This window comes from Homo sapiens, chromosome 2, assembly GCF_000001405.40.
Source record: "Homo sapiens chromosome 2, GRCh38.p14 Primary Assembly".
Classification (NCBI taxonomy): Eukaryota; Metazoa; Chordata; class Mammalia; order Primates; family Hominidae; genus Homo; species Homo sapiens.
This window is the reverse complement of record NC_000002.12, coordinates 227,986,760-228,006,936: the sequence shown is the minus strand read 5'-3', so window position 1 is coordinate 228,006,936 and position 20,177 is coordinate 227,986,760. Positions and strand designations below refer to the sequence as shown.

General features: G+C 39.5%; 1 protein-coding gene and 1 long non-coding RNA gene across 7 annotated transcripts in view; one reads left to right on the top strand and one right to left on the bottom strand.

Moving 5' to 3' along the window:
• Positions 1 to 20,177, bottom strand: part of LOC105373918 (uncharacterized) — a 79,493-nt gene that overhangs the window by 35,158 nt on the left and 24,158 nt on the right. The window lies entirely within an intron of this gene.
• SPHKAP (SPHK1 interactor, AKAP domain containing) overlaps positions 1 to 20,177 on the top strand; it is a 201,733-nt gene that overhangs the window by 174,751 nt on the left and 6,805 nt on the right. For 4 of the 6 annotated variants that reach the window (NM_001142644.2, XM_006712777.4, XM_005246870.5 and 1 more), the window contains 4 exons: positions 11,243 to 11,428; positions 13,317 to 13,403; positions 15,611 to 15,663; positions 15,753 to 15,937. In NM_001142644.2, the coding sequence (NP_001136116.1) occupies positions 11,243 to 11,428; positions 13,317 to 13,403; positions 15,611 to 15,663; positions 15,753 to 15,937 (511 nt within the window). The remainder of the gene's footprint in view (positions 1 to 11,242; positions 11,429 to 13,316; positions 13,404 to 15,610; positions 15,664 to 15,752; positions 15,938 to 20,177) is intronic. The other 2 variants (NM_030623.4, XM_006712778.5) reach the window with 1 other exon arrangement.

Here is a 20,177-nt window from a genome sequence, read left to right as displayed (position 1 = left end):
ACACCTCACACGGCTGAGTACCCCTCTGAGACGAAACCTCCAGAGGAACAATCAGACAGCAGCATTTGCTGTTCAGCAATATTCACTGTTCTGCAGCCTCCACTGCTATACCCAGGCAAACAGGGTCTGGAGTGGACCTCCAGCAAACTCCAACAGACCTGCAGCTGAGGGTCCTGACTGTTAAAAGGAAAACTAACAAACAGAAAAGACATCCACACCAAAACCCCATCTGTACATCACCATCATCAAAGACCAAAGGTAGATAAAACCACAGAGATGGGGAAAAGACAGAACAGAAAAACTGAAAATTCTAAAAATCAGAGCGCCTCTCCTCCTCCAAAGGAACGCACCTCCTCACCAGCAACAGAACAAAGCTGGACGGAGAATGACTTTGACGAGATGAGAGAAGAAGGCTTCAGACGATCAAACTTCTCCGAGCTAAAGGAGGAAGTTTGAAACCATGGCAAAGAAGTTAAAAACCTTGAAAAAAGATTAGACAAAAGGCTAACTAGAAAAACCAATGCAGAAAAGTCCTTAAAGGACCTGATGAAGCTGAAAACCGTGGCACGAGAATTACATGATGAATGCACAAGCTTCAGTAGCCGATTCGATCAACTGGAAGAAAGGGTATCAGTGACTGAAGATCAAATGAATGAAATGAAGCAAGAAGAGAAATTTAGAGAAAAAAGAATAAAGAGAAATGAACAAAGCCTCCAAAAAATATGGGACTGTGTGAAAAGAACAAATCTACATCGGATTGGTGTACCTGAAAGTGATGGGGAGAATGGAACCGACTTGGAAAACACTCTGCAGAATATTATCCAGGAGAACTTCCCCAACCTAGCAAGGCAGGCCAACATTCAAATTCAGGAAATACAGAGAACGCCACAAAGATACTCCTCGAGAAGAGCAACTCCAAGACACATAATTGTCACATTCATCAAAGAAGAAATGAAGGAAAAAATGTTAAGGGCAGCCAAAGAGAAAGGTCGGGTTACCCACAAAAGGAAGCCCATCAGACTAACAGCTGATCTCTAGGCAGAAACTCTACAGAGTGGGGGCCAATATTCAACATTCTTAAAGAAAAGAATTTTCAACCCAGAATTTCATATCCAGCCAAACTAAGCTTCATAAGTGAAGGAGAAATAAAATACTTTACAGACAAGCAAATGCTGAGAGATTGTGTCACCACCAGGCCTGCCCTACAAGAGCTCCTGAAGGAAGCACTAAACATGGAAAGGAACAACTGGTACCAGCCACTGCAAAAACATGCCAAATTGTAAAGACCATCAATGCTAGGAATAAACTGCATCAACTAACGAGCAAAACAACCAGCTAACATCATAAAGACATGATCAAAATCCCACATAACAATATTAACCTTAAATGTAAATGGGCTAAATGCTCCAATTAAAAGACACAGACTGGCAAATTGGATAAAGAGTCAAGACCCATCAGTGTGCTGTATTCAGGAAACCCATCTCACATGCAGAGACACATAGGCTCAAAATAAAGGAATGGAGGAAGATCTACCAAGCAAATGGAAAACAAAAAAAGGCAGGGGTTACAATCCTAGTCTCTGATAAAACAGACTTTAAACCAACAAAGATCAAAAGAGACGAAGGCCATTACATAATGGTAAAGGGATCAATTCAACAAGAAGAGCTAACTATCCTAAATATATATGCAACCAATACAGGAGCACCCAGATTCATAAAGCAAGTCCTTAGAGACCTACAGGCAGTCTTAGACACCCATACAATAATAGTGGGAGACTTTAACACCCCACTGTCAACATTAGACAGATCAACGAGACAGAAAGTTAACAAGGATATCCAGGAATTGAATACAGCTCTGCACCAAGTGGACCTAATAGACATCTAGAGAACTCTCCACCCCAAATCAACAGAATATACATTCTTCTCAGAACCACACCGCATCTATTCCAAAATTCACATAGTTGGAAGTAAAGCACTCCTCAGCAAATGTAAAAGAACAGAAATTATAACAAACTGTCTCTCAGAGCAAATTGCAATCAAACTAGAACTCAGGATTAAGAAACTCACTCAAAACCAATCAACTACATGGAAACTGAACAACGTGCTACTGAATGACTACTGGGTACATAACAAAATGAAGGCAGAAATAAAGATGTTCTTTGAAACCAACGAGAACAAAGACACAACATACCAGAATCTCTGGGACAGATTTAAAGCAGTGTGTAGAGGAAAATTTATACCACTAAATGCCCACAAGAGAAAGCACGAAAGACCTAAAATTGACACCCTAACATCACAATTAAAAGAACTAGAGAAGCAAGAGCAAACACATGCAAAAGATAGCAGAAGGCAAGAAATAACTAAGATCAGAGCAGAACTGAAGGAGATAGAGACACAAAAAACCCTTCATAAAATCAATGAATCCAGGAGCTGATTTTTTGAAAAGATCAACAAAATTGATAGACCGCTAGCAAGACTAATAAAGAACAGAGAAGAATCGAATAGACATAATAAAAAATGATAAAGGGGATATCACCACCCATCCCACAGAAATGCAAACTACCATCAGAGAATACTATAAACACCTCTACGCAAATAAACTAGAAAATCTAGAAGAAACGGATAAATTCCTCAACACATACACCCTCTCAAGACTAAACCAGGAAGAAGTTGAATCTCTGAATAGACCAATAACAGGCTCTGAAATTGAGGCAATAATTAATAGCCTACCAACCAAAAAAAGCCCAGGACCAGATGGATTCACAGCCGAATTCTACCAGAGGTACAAGGAGGAGCTGGTACCAATCTTTTTGAAACTATTCCAATCAATTGAAAAAGAGGGCATCCTCCCTAACTCATTTTATGAGGCCAGCATCATCCTGATACCAAAGCCTGGCAGAGACATAATGAAAAAAGAGAATTTTAGACCAATATCCCTGATGAACATCGATGCAAAAGTCCTCACTAAAATACTGGCAAACCAAATCCAGCAGCACATCAAAAAGCTTATCACCATGATCAAGTGGGCTTCATCCCTGGGATGCAAGGCTGGTTCAACATACGCAAATCAATAAATGTAATCAGGTATGTAAACAGAACCAAAGACAAAAACCACATGATTATCTCAAAAATGCAGAAAAGTCCTTTGACAAAATTCAAGAGCCCTTCATGCTAAAAACTCTCAATAAATTAGGTATTGATGGGATGTATCTAAAAATAATAAGGGCTATTTATGACAAACTCACAGCCAATATCATACTGAATGGGCAAAAACTGGAAGTATTCCCTTTGAAAACTGGCACAAGACAGGGATGCCCTTTCTCACCACTCCTATCCAACATAGTTTTGGAAGTTCTGGACAGGGCAATCGGGCAGGGGAAAGAAATAAAGGTATTCAATTAGGAAAAGAGGAAGTCAAATTGTCCCTGTTTGCAGATGACATGATTGTGTATTTAGAAAACCCCATCGTTTCAGCTCAAAATCTCCTTAAGCTGATAAGCAACTTCAGCAAAGTCTCAGGATACAAAATCAATGTGCAAAAATCACAAGCATTCTTATACACCAATAACAGACAAACAGCCAAATCATGAGTGAACTCCCATTCACAATTGCTTCAAAGAGAATAAAATACCTAGGAATCCAACTTACAAGGGATGTGAAGGACCTCTTCAAGGAGAACTACAAACCACTGCTCAACGAAATAAAAGAGGACACAAACAAATGGAAGAACATTCCATGCTCATAGGTAGGAAGAATCAATGTCGTGAAAATAGCCATACTGCCCAAGGTAATTTATAGATTCAATGCCATCCCCATCAAGCTACCAATGACTTTCTTCACAGATTGGAAAAAACTACTTTAAAGTTCACATGGAACCAAAAAAGAGCCCGCATTGCCAAGTCAATCCTAAGCCAAAAGAACAAAGCTGGAGGCATCACGCTGCCTGACTTCAAACTATACTACAAGGCTACAGTAACCAAAACAGCATGGTACTGGTACCAAAACAGAGGTATAGACGAATGGAACAGAACAGAGCCCTCAGAAATAATACCACACATCTACAACCATCTGATCTTTAACAAACCTGATGAAAACAAGAAATGGGGAAAGGATTCCCTATTTAACAAATGGTGCTGGGAAAACTGGCTAGCCATATGTAGAAAGCTGAAACTGGATCCCTTCCTTACACCTTATACAAAAATTAATTCAAGATGGATTAAAGACTTACATGTTAGACCTAAAACCATAGAAACCCTAGAAGAAAACCTAGGCAATACCATTCAGGACATAGGCATGGGCAAGGACTTCATGTCTAAAACACCAAAAGCAATGGCAACAGAAGCCAACATAGACAAATGGGATCTAATTAAACTAAAGAGCTTCTGCACAGCAAAAGAAACTACCATCAGAGTGAACAGGCAACCTACAAAATGGGAGAAAATTTTTGCAATCTACTCATCTGACAAAGGGCTAATATCCAGAATCTACAAAGAACACAAACAAATTTACAGGAAAAAAAACAACCTCATCAAAAAGTGGGTGAAGGAGATGAGCAGACACTTCTCAAAAGAAGACATTTATGCAGCCAACAGACACGTGAAAAAATGCTTATCATCACTGGCCATCAGAGAAATGCAAATCAAAACCACAATGAGATATCATCTCACAGCAGTTAGAATGGCAATCATTAAAAAGTCAGGAAACAACAGGTGCTGGAGAGGATGTGGAGAAACAGGAACACTTTTACACTGTTGGTGGGACTGTAAACTAGTTCAACCATTGTGGAAGTCAGTGTGGCGATTCCTCAGGGATCTAGAACTAGAAATACCATTTGACCCAGCCATCCCATTACTGGGTATATACCCAAAGGATTATAAATCATGCTGCTATAAAAACACATGCACACGTATGTTTATTGTGGCACTACTCACAATAGCAAAGACTTGGAACCAATCCAAATATCCAACAATGATAGACTGGATTAAGAAAATGTGGCACATATACACTATGGAATACTATGCAGCCATAAAAAATGAAGAGTTCATGTCCTTTGTAGGGACATGGATGAAGCTGGAAACCATCATTCTCAGCAAACTATTGCAAGGAAAAAAAACCAAACACTTCACGTTCTCACTCATAGGTGGGAATTGAACAATGAGAACACATGGACACAGGAAGGGGAACATCACACACCAGGGCCTGTTGTGGGCTGCGGGGAGCGGGGAGGGATAGCATTAGGAGATATACCTAATGTAAATGACGAGTTAATGGGTGCAGCACACCAACATGGCACATGTATACATATGTAACAAACCTGCACATTGTGCACATGTACCCTAGAACTTAAAGTATAATAAATATATATGTGTGTATATATATTTTTATATATATGTATATTTTTATATATATGTATATATATTCTTATATATACGTATATATACTTATATATACGTATATATATTTTTATATATACGTATATATTCGTATATATACATATATATATTTATATATGTATATATTTATATATATTTATGTATATATATTTATATATGTGTATATATATTTATGTGTGTATATATTTATATATGTGTATATATATTTATATATGTATATATATTTATATATGTATAGATATATTTATATGTATAGATATATGTATAGATATATTTATATATGTGTGTGTGTGTGTATATATATATATATATATGTTTATATAAAAGAAAAATGATCAAAAGGCCTGAAGAGACACTTCACCAAAGAACATGTATGGATAGCATATAAGCATATAAAAAGATGTTCAACATTATGTCATTATGGACTTGCAAATCAAAACAATCAGATACCACCACATACATATTAGAATCCCAAAATTCAAAATACTGACAAAACCAGATGCTGGCAAAGATGTGGAGCAACAGAAACTCATTCATTACTGATTGGAATACAGAATGGAGCAGCCACTTTTGAAGACATTTGGGGAGTGTTTTACAAAACTAAAGATACTCTTACCATACGACCCAGCAATCCTGTTCCTTGGTATTTACCCAAACACGTTGAAAACTTATGCCCATATAAAAACCTGCACACAGATGTTTATACTAGCTTTAGTTAGAATTGCCAAAACTTAGAAGCAACAGGGGATTCTTCAGTAGGTAAATGGATAAATTGTGGTACATCCAAACAATAGAATTTTATTCAGCACTAACAAAAAAGAACTGTCAAGCCATGAAAAGATACAGAGGAACCTTAAGTGCATATTATTAAATGTTGTCAATCTTTTATGTATTTTATTTTATTTTATTTTTATTATTATTATTTTTTTTAGATGGAGTCTTACTGTCTCCCAGGCTGGAGTGCAGTGGCGCCATCTTGGCTCACTGCAACCTCCACCTCATGGGTTCAAGCGATTCTCCTGCCTCAGCCTCCCGAGTAGCTGGGACTACAGGCGCCCACCACCATGCCCGGCTAATTTTTTGTATATTTAGTAGAGATGGGGTTTCACCATGTTAGCCACGATGGTCTCCATCTCCTGACCTCGTGATCCACCCACCTTGGCCTCCCAAAGTGCTGGGATTACAGACGTGAGCCACCGTGCCCGGCCGACTAATTTTTGTATTTTTAGTAGAGACAGTGTTTCACCATGTTGGCTAGGCTGGTCTTGAACTCCTGACCTCAGGTGATCCACCCGCCTTGGCCTCCCAAAGTGCTGGGATTACAGGCGTGAGCCACCGCTCCTGGCCAAACGTTGCCAATCTTAAGACGCTACATGCTATATGATTCCAACTATATGACAGTCTCAAGAAAGGCAAAACTATGGAGACAATAAAAAGATCAGTGGTTGTCAGAGGTTAGAGGGCAGGAGGGTTGAACAGGTAGAGCACAGAGGATTTTTAGGGCAGTGAACTTATACTGTATGATATTAGTCATTATACATTTGTCAAAGCCTATATAGAACATGCAACATCAAGAGTGAACCCTAATGGAAATTACAGGCTAGATGGTCTCTAAAATCTCTGCCAACTGAGAGATTAGATTCTATGATGGAATTTGATATGACATAGTCTTCTGAATCTCTGTGGATGACATGTAAGATAAGAAGGGGGAAGCCATCTGCATGCATCTGCACAACACCTCTGTGCATTATTCATAAATAAATGAGCAGAACTGTAAATTTCAATTTCTCTCAAAATGAAAACTAGTGTTGTGGATAATGATTATTCATTCTGAACTCCTAGTTATGTGACATGGAATGTGAGATTTACTTTAAATAGAGCATGAAGTTGAGATAAAGTAAAATACACTGACAGACTCATTTTTTAATAAGGATGTTGGATGTCAATCACTGAGATTTAACTTCTTTAGTAAGAAATAGCCTGGAATAAATGTTTCTAATAACATGAGATTCTAACTTAATAAGAAATTGGTCCAGGAAATGACTTTTTACCTAGGCAAGTGAATGGTTTGGGAATCTTCTCCTTTGTATCTGGTTCTTGGCTCATTTGCACTGTGTTGGGGATATATGTATTATTTCCATTTGTCATCAATGAACTTTTTTTTCATTTGAATTTAAGTCCATGCTGCCTCTTTGGCTGCACCATTCTCCTCCTTCCTCCCTACATGATTTGGAAAAATCTCAATATTTCAACAAGAAAAACCAAGCAAGGACCTTCTTTCACAAAGTGTTAGCAGCATAGCATACTGGAAATAACCACACCTCAATGCCAAACCTACCCAGAACACTGTGAGAAGGACTGTCAGGATCAAGCATCCAAAGCCTTTTGTAAAATTCCTTAGGTGACAAGTTCACACATCAAAAAGGAGATTTTTAATCACACTCAAAAAGTTATGCATTTGAAACTCTGCTCTCTATATGAGAACTTTTTTAAATTTTTAAAATATAACCATTCTCAGAGAACGGATAACAGTACTAATTCTAAGATTGAGGAAAATTACATAGACCTTTCTGCAGCCAATATTTTACTTTAAATGAAAGAGGCCACCTGTCTTAGGTTGTATTCCCTGGGAACAGACTCTGAGAGGGAGAGCTGCAGGCAGATAATTTGTCAGGGAGTTCTCTGCAGAAATATATGCATACCCATGTAAGGAAGTGGGAAAGGCAGGATTGGCCAAGAGGAGAGGTCCTTCCCAAGTGTGTCTGCAACTGAGGCCTCGGCACATCCTGCAGGAAACCCGGAAGATGGGATGGTCTGTCAGTTTTGATGCAAATGGAAGCAAGGAGTGGGATTTTGTATCTCTATGTTAGCCAGACATTAGGATCCTCACCGGGAAAGGGTCTAACCTTGGCAAGGCAATTCCTTCACTGAGGGTAATTCCCAGTGTGTACAGTCAGCAGCCTGTATTCTCCACAGTCAGGGTACCATGGCCTGAAGTAAAACAATCCAGCATCTACTAGATCAAGTGACTGTTTTTACTGTCAATAGCAAAATATGCTGTTGCTTTTTGTTTGTAGTCATTTATGTCTGTTAATGTCAAAAACATAAATACTGTTAGTTTTTGATGACCTTGTAAGTAGTCTGCAGACAAATTTCCATGAACACGTTTACATTTCTGTACATCAGAGTTTCCTGAGCAAAGGGCACTCATACCTGAATTAAAGGGTGATTGAATATTAACCCTAAAGGCCGGGCGCAGTGGCTCATGCCTGTAATCCCAGCACTTTGGGAGGCCCAGGAGTGCAGGTCACTTGAGTTCGAGACCAGCCCAGCCAACATGGCAAATCCTATCTCTACTAAAAATAAAAAAATTAGCCAGGCATGGTGACACATGCCTGTAATCCCAGCTACTTGGGAGGCCGAGGCAGGGGAGTTGCTTATATCTGGGAGACGGAGGTTGCAGTGAGCTGAGATCATGCTACTGCACTTCAGCCTGGGCATCAAAGCAAGACTTTGTCTCAAACAAACAAACAAACAAACAAAAAACTACCAGCTTGCAAGTAGTGCCACATCTCAGATCTTTCACAGTTTACAACTTAACAAGTGGAGCTCTCTAGACTAAGAGTGTGGCTCTGCTTATGAAACTAGACACTTTTAGCAATAACATATTCATCTGAAGAATAGTTTATGTGTTCACAGCTCTGTTCTTAAAATACAAACAAGTGCAAACACTCTTAATAACGAATATTATATACACAAATAACTATATGTACTAGAATGTGACTCAGGAAGCCTTCCATTTCACCAAAAAGAAAGAAAAATAGATTGCTTCAACCATTCAAGGGAGAGAGCTCCAGCTAAAAAGATTAAGAAAGGCCTTGGGGAGGTGGGAGTGTCTTGGCTGAGGCTTGAGGGGTAGTGAGAAGCAAAGATCAAAACAGCGTGTTATTAGACGTGATTCTTAACAAAAGCATGTTATTAGACTTAATGAATTATATAATTTATTAATAAAGAAGAATACTTATTGGATACTTATATACAGGCACTAAGCTAAATGCATTAAATGATTTTTTTTCTAATTTATGTCTTCCAAAAACCTTTATGAGATGTTGTTACTTTTCTTGGAGAGATTTATTAACTTAAGTTGAACAGGTGACAAGTCGTGGAACAGGAATCTACAGCAGTTGGATGGCAGAATGTATGCTCGAAGCACACACTTCTCCACCATTTGGTCAGAAGACTCAACTAGGCAAAGGCTGGGAGGCAAGAAATCCCTGCAGTTTTGAAAAACAGTAGATAGTTTTGTTTGTTAAATAGTGATTAGGGTTGAGGCACATGAAACTTGATAAGCAGGGGGAGCCCACAACGGATAGAGTTTGGCTTCAGGAAGTTCCTGAAGGCTCCTGACAAGAGCAACCAACAATATGCTTTAGGTACTTTAATCTGGCACCAGGGTTAAGAAGGTTTTGAAAGTGGATGACTAGTTGAAGCACAACCGTTGGAAGGCTGGTGCACTATAGTCCAGGCAAGCACACAAGGTCTAAATGTCTAGTACCAACTCCTGTTTCAGGATAAGCCCTCCAATCTCACTGGGCTTCTGGATCTTCATCTACAGGAAATCTTCCTTCCAAATCTGGAATTATAGCAATTTAGAAAGACAAATTAAAGTATGTTGGTGTAACAGTAATTGAGGGTTTTGCCATTAAAAGTAATTGTGAAAGCTTTTGAGTTGGAACTGAATGAACAAAGAAATTTATTGAATGTAAAGGGCAAAGAGGAGAAATTGGAAGACTGCAAGATTTTAAGCCTAGGCACACAGAAAAGTCAATGGAAATAAGAAGCCCAGGAAGAGGGTGGGAAGGCAATTAGAATTCGTTTTAGATGTATTGATTTTGAGATGTTAATGAGATATGCAGAAGACCCGCTTGTAAAGGAGCCCAGAATCCAGAAGAAGGGTCCTGGCTGGGATCCAGACTTGGAAGCTATTTTCACAGACAGGCAAGTGGATGAGATTGCTTAGGAACCGACTGTGGAAAGGAGGACAGGAAATCAATCAGAGCCAGCTATAGCTACACTTAAAGGAAAAACAGACAACTGGGTTCCAGGCAAGAAGGGACCAGAGAGACAGAAATTCACAGGAGGCCAGGGAGGAGAAGCTTCAAGAACAAAGGCCTGTCAGATCAAGGGTTAAATGCTCTGGAGAGCTCCTTGGTCTAAAAATGCAAGTGCTCATCCAGAAGAGTGGTGCTGATATAAATCAGGGGTTTCAGAGGGAGGAGATAGGGTAAAATACAGCACAAAATATAGTGCAAGTGCAAAATACAGAGGCATGCATATCAAAATATAGAGGCGTCTTGCTTTTTACCAAGTCAGTGCAAAATGACTTGGTAAAAAGCACCAGAAACGGGGTAGGTATTTTTCTAATGATCCTCTTGCATTAGAATCAACCAGGAGTGATTGATAAAAATGCAGATTTGTGGACCTCCTTCCAGAAACACTGAATCATAATCTCTCGGGTGAATGCTTTGTGTATCTTCTTTTTAAACATCATTGTCCCTCAATAATTCTTTTGTGTGTAGGCCAGGCTACATACATTCAACCTGTTTTTCAAATGATTGGAGGGAGTCAGTAGAAAGAGATTAATAGAAGAGATGGAAAAGCTGGCTGATGGGGAGTAATCCTGAAAAGGCAAATGGGACCTAGGGCACCAGCAGAAGGATCAGCCCAGGGAGACTCTGCCTGTGTCCAGTGACATCCTGTTTATTGGGACTCTACAAAGTGGCTCTGTGAAGTTTCTGTGTGTGTGTGTGTGTGCTGCCTCTCTTGGTAATAATATCTTGCCCTCTACAGTGACAGCCTTGATACCAGAGATGTACCAGAGGCTGAAGCCTCCACAGAAGCCAGAGCCCCCGATGAGGCCCCCAACCCTCCAAGCAGCAGCGAGGAGAGCACAGGCAGCTGGACCCAGCTTGCCAATGAGGAAGACAACCCAGATGACACAAGTAGCTTTCTCCAGCTCAGTGAGCGATCCATGAGGTACCTGCTCTTCCCTTGAATTCCCAGGGAAATTGGTCTCAACACAGATTCTAAAAATGCATTTTAATGGTTCTCTGCAAAGGGTCCCTAATAAAGAGAGAAGGAGAGAACAAAAAAAGGAAAGTTCCCACTATGTCGAGGGGCCTGCCTGTCATGATTTGTGCTGAGAGGTATCTTAATATCCAGTTATGGCTTAAATTACTTTGGCCGTGATTAAGAATGAGCTGTGTTCCCTTCCCTGCAAGCCCCAGCTAGAACATTCAATGATGACAACTGTAAATGTTTTTAAATGGTGAGCTGCTTTTACACCTGGTGTGTTTGATACTCTGTCTCTGGTTCATTTGTATTTCAGATGCAACACAGGCTGGGTTTACACGAGGCAAGTGTTTCCACACTGTGTTGTATTGTTTGGCCTGACTGTTCCTCCCTCTATCTCCCCTGCCCTCTGTATTGTTCCTCCCAAAAAGCTAGAGAGGAGATTAAGAGACATCAGATTTGGAAGGGCTCAAGCCAGTCAGGAGACATTAACTAAAATCTATTCCTTGCTGAGGTGGAACCTCTAAAAGACTCCCTGTGTTTCTGCCCAAAATCTCATTTGATACTGAACCACAAACTTTGCACAGAGGCCAAATGGAAAATGGGATCAGCATCTGGGTGTATGTATGACTCTTGGAAAGTTTTATTTCTGGGAGTTTAGTCTGTTTAGACTTAACATTTCACAATGTTAAAGAGTTTGTCAAAACTTCTAAAACTAGCGGAAAGTATTACAAGATAGAAACAAAAAGCAAAGAGAACTCGAATCTTTGGACTCAACAATAAGGTTTATAGGGTTGATTATCTCCAGTGCAATTTTGAGCCATCAGGTTTCAATACATGAATATGCCTGGTGCCCCCCTCAAAAGCTAAGACAAGAATTTAAATTCGAGGGCATCCAGTTGATATTTTCTACTTTTAGAGTACCATCTACTCTTGGTATATCCAGGAGAAAGCCGTCCCACTACACGACGCACCACCACTCACCCTTTGGAAGACTTGCTTGAAAGAGACATCACTGGAAACAGAGAAGGTGTGAGGAGACTGAGTGGTTTGGTAAAATTGGATATATTTCATTTCACAAGCACAAACAGAGCCTAAAAATTGGCTCAACTTTGCTGTGTTTCAGTCAGTAAGTTCCAGGCTAGTAACTAGACCATATGTTGACTGTGCAGCCTATGAACATGATGCAATCTGTGGTCCTCCCTCTCTACAGTAAAAAAGGTACCAGGTGTTGCTCTTTCTTGAAGATTGTAAGATAAAGGAGTGATAAAACATTGACATTGCCCAGCTTTGTACTTATGGTTCTGTAGTCTCATGGGAAAATAGCAAGCCAGATGCTCAGCCTATGAAATCCTATGGAATGTCCCTGAGAAAATCCCCCAAATGTCAAAGGGAGAACATGAGTCCACTGGTTTCTGTCAAAACTGGTTCCTGCCAGCCCATGTTTTCAGAAGTTCCTTCATCTCTGCAGGTGTCCCCAGCAGCAAGAAATCTCTTGCCGATAGATAAATACCTTCACCGTAACTAGAATGAAGAAAAGAGGCAGACTGATTGTTACCCCCTAGGTGTGATCTACCAGTTGTGATACCACTTCAGAAAGTGGTATCACAACTTATTATTATTCACAAATTATTAGTAGTATTATTATTATCTGCTGAGCTGGTTAGGCCTATGTCTCATTATGATTTCTCTTAATTTGTTCAGAAATAAATATGAATTGAGGTGTCCTAGGCACAAAGCGATATTTTTCTGGGGACCAAAGGAAGGAGCTTGTACAACAATGGAACATCACTGTCAGCAGCATGTTAGAGGGTGGAGACGGGCATTAATATGTAAACTTTTGCTTTGTCAGCAATGGCAACAGTAGTGCCACTAGCAGTCTTGGCATTATGGATCTGGACATTTATCAGGAAAGCATGCCATCTTCTCCCATGATTAAGTAAGTAGCCACTGAGATGCAGTGATTGTGAGACCACTACTCCAATTCCATCTGGCAATCCATTTTGATCATTCAGGTTGTGCCCAACCACTGACCTCATCATGTCTGTACTGCTGTGGTTCCATGTCACTGGAGGAAGAATTCAAGCCTAGAATAGGCCCTGCCCTACCACCACCTGCTTTCTGGGTTTCAAATCTGCCCCCTGTGAAATAATCATTTCAGATAAAACTTATCAATATAATCTGAAGTGTATGTCATTTTACCTACCTAGAAACAGAAGCAAGAACCCATTTAAATTATACCATGCCATCTAAAGAGGACTACTCAATAGTCTTCACTATAAAACATAATCATTTCAATAAAATCAAATGTGAATGGCTTTTCCTTTACATGTAGAAACCTGGGATTATCACTACTAAATGTGTCTAATATTACATGGTTGTCATGATGGATATGTGTCATTCCCACCCCGTGACTATGCTCTCCACAATATGGGGACTTCCTTAAGAAGGAAAAAAGGACTTAGAGAAGGACAGGTACTTTTAGGAAGTACATACATCCTAAAATATGGCGCAAAAAGAGAGGGCAGCATGAGGTCGGGACTACTTCTAGAATATGTGGTTATTCTGGAAAATTAAAATGATTGAAATCTATTTTTGACCATTGTGATTTAGCTTATGATTTGGAGATTTCTGAAATTTCAGAGCAATGATAAATAAGTATAGGCTAAAGTTGTTCCCTGACCTATTTTCTCAATCACTATCTATAACTACAGCACTTTTATTTCACCATTTAACTAGTTGTGCTCCTCAGTGATTGAGGGTGACAGTGGTTCCTTTGTGGCTCCACACAGCCATTATTCACAAGTAGAGATGAGCATACACATTATCTTGTTTTTTTGTTTTGTTTTGTTTTCTTTTCTTTTGTTTTAAGGAGAAACCAAAAACCAAAACAAACAAAAACTACCTTGGGGTAAATTTATTTTTCTCTTTCAGGAAACATTTATTTAGCTACTTTTCCCAACTTTCTCTGCAATATGAGCCTATGACCCTACAACCCCAGGGAAAATCTGTATTCTGAGGAAGCCAAGCAATCACCTCCATGGTCAGCATCCTGCAGCTCCAAAACAGCAGAAACTGTGCCTCCCATTTGTCATACCCCCTATGTCACTTGCATAGAGATCTAGAAGAAAATCTAGATCCTTGAAAAATTAGCATTTCTGCAAATAAATAAGTATGAATGAAAGAATTACTATACTCTTTCTCTCAACATCAGGAACACAATGGAATTTTTCAGCCATATCTTAGCAGTAGCAGAATGAGAGAATCATCTATCGTCAAACAACACATTTTTGAGGGCTCCTGTACTCTAATTTCTAGACACGACAAAAATATAGGACAACCACAGGCTTCCCAGGATAGCCACTTCCTTTCAGCTGCTGGCCATATGTTCTTACTTTAGAAACATTTACCAAGTCCTCCCACTACATGCAAGGTTCTGTAATAAGTACACACCATATGAAAACACCTCCAATATTAAACTCTACCATATCTAATGAAATACTTCAGTTATGAGTCCCTCATTCTAAACCACCCAGCCTGCTACACTTCCCCAATAAGAAGAAAGAAAAAGAAAAACTTTAATTGTGATATTTTGCTGTCAAATTTAAGTTCTGCAGTTTGTTGGTTGTCTTTTTTCTTATTTCAGATCAAATAACCATATACATGTAAAATTATTTTTTAAATAAAATAAAAGCTATGTTGCTATTGTAGTATAGAAAAAAAATTGTGACAAGATGGGAACATATGATTCATTAAGATGAAAGTAAAATGCAAAAGAATAAATCTCCAAATCAGAACTAGTTACCCACAAAATCTCTCTTTCATTGTTTAAACCTATGAAAGTTTATGGTAAGGAGGTTGAAGAGAAGGTTGCATCTCTCAGTCTCCCACACCAGCTATCCTAACTAAAGTAACTTGAGTTATCTGGCCTGTTGTTGTTGTTGGAGGAGGACATTTATTGCAGACCCAGTGATCTTACATAATAGCCACATTGGTGTTTTCCCAGCATTACTCTACTCTACAAAAACAATAAATCCAGAATGAACTTCAGAAGCTTTTAGATCAGTAAGACCCATCGCCTCATCTTTCATTTACAGCTTATTCTTCTAAACATTACCAACCATATACTGTTGTTTTCTCCCAAAGTGAATTAGTAGAAGAAAAGAAGATTCTTAAAGGACAGTCAGAAAGCACAGAGGGTAAGCCACCTTCCCATACTTTTGACACACAATTGCCTGGGCTGTCCCTTTGGAAAGAAGGATAAGGCTGTGGTTGTGTCTGTTCTCAGCACCTGCATCTGGACCGCCTACGGGAACAGCCAGCCCCCAGAGGAGCCTGCTGGTGATCAACTTTGACCTGGAGCCAGAGTGTCCAGATGCCGAGCTCCGAGCCACTCTGCAGTGGATAGCTGCCTCTGAACTGGGGATTCCCACCATCTACTTTAAGAAATCTCAGGAAAACAGAATTGAAAAGGTATCATGTACCAGGTTTGGAAAACAAGAAAGCTTTGTGTTTTCATCACCACTGGAAACTCAGTAAATGCTCAGTAAACCCCTGTCCATTTGAATTATTTGATCCTGACTGTTCTTGATCTTAAAATTGCGGCTAGAACATTGAAATCTTCCACCTGTGTAAATATAATATACTTAGCGTTTCTTTGATCCTTACTTTGTCTTGGCTAGTAGGTGGTAGTGAGAAAAGTAAATTGAGGGGATGGGAACTTTTTTAGAGTCTGTTATTTTTTTGGTGTTTTCTTGCTCTGGGACAAACTTCTTGATAGTGATCCTTTAAATAAAAGAAAGAAAGAAGAACCTGATATATAACAGAAACCAAAGTGAGGCCACACTGACATCTAAAACAGGCCAAGAGAAGGCATTTTTAATTCCCTTCCAAACAGGTTCGTGTTAGGAAGACTTTTTATTTATTATTCTCCACCTACCAGAAATATAAAGCTAGGGAAGAGATCCTTGGCCAACATCAAAATTAATAGTAACTATCACTCTAATTCTATATCTCTAAGACCTACCATTAACTGCGGTAGAATCTTAGCTATTAAGAGTAAGGCATGAATCTGTCTCCCAATGTCTTCAAGCTCAATTTTCCATAATTTAAAAGTAGACTCGTTTTAAAAGATTTCAAATTAATAATAACATACTAGTTTTCTATTGCTGTGTAACAAACTGTCACAAATTTACCAGCTTAAAACAGCACTCAGCTCTGTAGGTCCAAAGTTAGGGTGAGTTCTACTGTAATCTTTGCTTTAGGTTTTACAAGGTGGAAATTAAGGCATTAGCCTGACTGGGCACTTATCCAAAAGTTCCGGGGAAGAGAAAGAGTCCAAGCTTGTTCAGATTGTTGTGCTAATTCAGTTCCATGTGGTTGTAGGACTGAGGTCCTGTTTCCCTGCTGGCTGTCAGCAGAGGGCTGCTCTCAGTGCCCAGAGGCCACCTACATTCTCTGTCACATGGCTCCTTTATGTCCTTTTGGTGTCAATCTCCCTGATACCTTCAGCCACCAGCCAGAAAAAGCTCTGTCTTTAAAGAGTTTGTGTGATTAGGCCAGGTGCAGTGGCTCATGCCTATAATCCCAGTCCTTTGGGAGGCCAAGGTGGGCAGATCACCTGAGGTCAGGAGTTCAAGACCAGCCTGACCAACATGGTGAAACCCCATCTCTACTTAAAAAAAAAAAAAAAAACAAAAATTAGCCAGGCATGGTGGCAGGCACCTGTAATCCTGGCTACTCGGGAGGCTGAGACAGGAGAATCGCTTGAACCCAGGAAGTGGAGGTTGCAGTGAGCCGAGATTCCACCACTGCACTCCATCCTGGGTGGCAGAGTCAGACATTGTCTCAAAAAAGAATAAGTGTGATTAGATTATAATCACCTGATAGGTTTCTGATTAACTCAAAGGTAACTGATAAATCCTTTTTGCCATATAAGGTAGCGTAATAAGGGCATGATATCGCATCCTATTCATGGTCCCAGGGATTAGGGTGAAAAACCTTGAGTACTGTTTTAGGATCCTGCCTATCAAGCCACCAGGTAGGATTTTCATGTCTTATTGTCACAAAGTGCCTCCATGTGCCTCATCCTACTTGCTTCTCAACAAGCCTGTGAAAAAACAGAACAGATATTATTGTCCCTTTTTGACTAGGAGCAAATCGGGTACATGAGCGATTTCCCAGGCCAAGCCCCTGTGCCCTGTTTTCTCCATAAAATACTTCCCAGTAGTTCTTTATTTTAAAAGGATCTTTCTCAAGTTAAATGACCTTGGGCTTACAATCTGGATTTTTTTAACTGTGTAATTGCATTTTAATTCTCAGTGCCAAAATCTAGCAGCCTGAAATGAAATGTTCTTTACCTTCTTGTCCCTGCTTACAGTAGTTAGAACAGCTTCTCTATTTCTGCATCACTAGTCCATGGGATCGACTACAGGAAAAATTGAAAAGGAGACCTAATTCATTTTTCATACCCTTTCTCACTTCAACCTTTTTCCAACTGGTAATTAACACTTCCCTTCATGCCTATGTCTGCCTGCTGTTCTACCCAAAATTATTCTAGGCACCTTCCTATACTTGTCATACTTTCATTTACAAGGTGTTGAGCGGTTCACTATTTGATAAATTCTCCTCTGACCTTACAACTCAGCAGCAAAGGGTGCAATAAAAAAGCATAATCATGTGTGACCCTACCCCCATGCCATACACTGTCCCAAAGACCCCTTGCTATGTAGAGGAGGGAAAAACATTCTCAGGAATACATTCCCAGGCTCATGGGAAAATGAAAGAGGAGCTGGTTCCAACTCTATCTCCTGCCACTCCCTGAATAAGAGCATGACATGGTAGATTTTCAGGTGGTATCTGAATGGAATAGATGTTTGTACAATGTATCTTCTTGAAGAAACAATGTTATGTGAATATATGTCTCATAAATCCCCATTCGGTACAAGGGTAAGAGGTGTCTCACAAACACCTGAGTTACACAAATCATGCCCTGACTTGGTATTTGTTTATCCCGACCTGATTTTCGATTCTCAAAGAGAATGCTTGTTTTTGGATACAACTATTTTTCTGAGAAAATAGACATTCCGCTAATGTTATCAAGAAGGATATTAAATGATATTTCACTCATTCAATTAGCACCAGCTCAAGAAACTTAATTCTAAATAATGTAATCTTAGGAACAAAATCTCCTAATTTTTCTTTTGAGTCATCTAAGACTCTCTGCACATAGTGGCTTTTCCACGAATACGAGTACCATTTGTTGTCTGTGACTGAACTGGTTAAAGAAAAAAAACCCTTAAGCAACATTTTGATAATCTTTCTTTTATCAATAGTACTTTTGGGGACCTTATTCTGGATGTTATTGAATTAGCCAGGTAGTTAAATGGCCATTTTCAAGTGGTGTACGAAAGAGAGCTCGTCTTCCATGGAGGCTGTGTCATACGAGAACAGCAGTGTCTCATTAGCTTCTCATCAGCTTAGATAAGGTTAAAGAAAAGTCTCTACAAAGTCCAGAAAATGTCATCTTCCCACTGTCACTAGGGTATTGGACAATATTCACAGATGAATCCCTGAGTTCCTAATTTGTGTGAATCCTAAAATTTTTTTGGGCTAATTAGTCTATGTGTTTTATTTTACTGTGTTCCCAATTTACTAACCTTCTTGCCTTGTGAAAAGGGAGGTATGTGCTAGGGAACAGGGTCTCAGGAATTCATAATGAAACAGCTCATCTTTCCCACCACTGCCCAGGAACTTGGCCTTGGAGTTGGGGGCACCTAAAGGCAACTCACCACTAATTCCATCCTTTGTTCAACTTAAAAGGCAAATTCCAAACATTCTGAGTGCCCAATATACTCCTCTCGTGACAAATGGTACTTCATTTTCAAATTTTCCCTTTCACTTGTGTTTTATCTAATTATTAAAAAGCTAAATGCACCTGAAAATCGTACATTCAGAACATTCATCAGGTCTTAAGCATCTACAAATGCCAGGCACTGTTATACACCCTGGAGATACAGTGAGCAAGAGACATCACTTCCTACCCTCTTAGATTTTACATTCTAATTTAGAACAGACCAAAGGTAAGAAGAATATAAACGGAGAGAAGCTCAGATTGTAAATAGCAACCTTGAGATACGATGGGGACTTTTTCTGGACAAGGGAAATAAGAAGCACACGGAGAACAGTATTTCTCAAACTGTTACCATGAGCCATGTGGGCATGAAACAGTCATGTGGGACAGACATTTATTCACAAATTGGATTGCTAGATCCCTTCTAGGACCTGATCACTTTCTGGTAGTGGAGCCTAGAAATATGCATTTTTAACAATTTCCCACAAGTGATGTGATTCTGATAAACACTGAAGTTTGAGACCTCCTTCCAGAGAAATATCTTAGACAAGCAGCAGAATTTGAGGTGGCCTTAAAGTATCCTAAATCCCAGGGGAAAGATTGCTGAAAATCCTACATCCAATAATTTAAAACACTTTGTAAACCTTGACATCAGTTAACTTGAATGTAATTAATCCAAGGCCAATAAAAGACACGCACATGGCTAATGGTCCTGGTTTTTTAGATCCAAAGATCATTGCTCTCCAGCTCTTCTCTGTTTGAATTCAGTGAGCTTCTCTGAGCTGGGGTAGCTGATGACTTGCCTCTCACAGTAAATTGGTATTTTTCTCATCTTTGAGCCTGCATTGAGAATTATTTCCT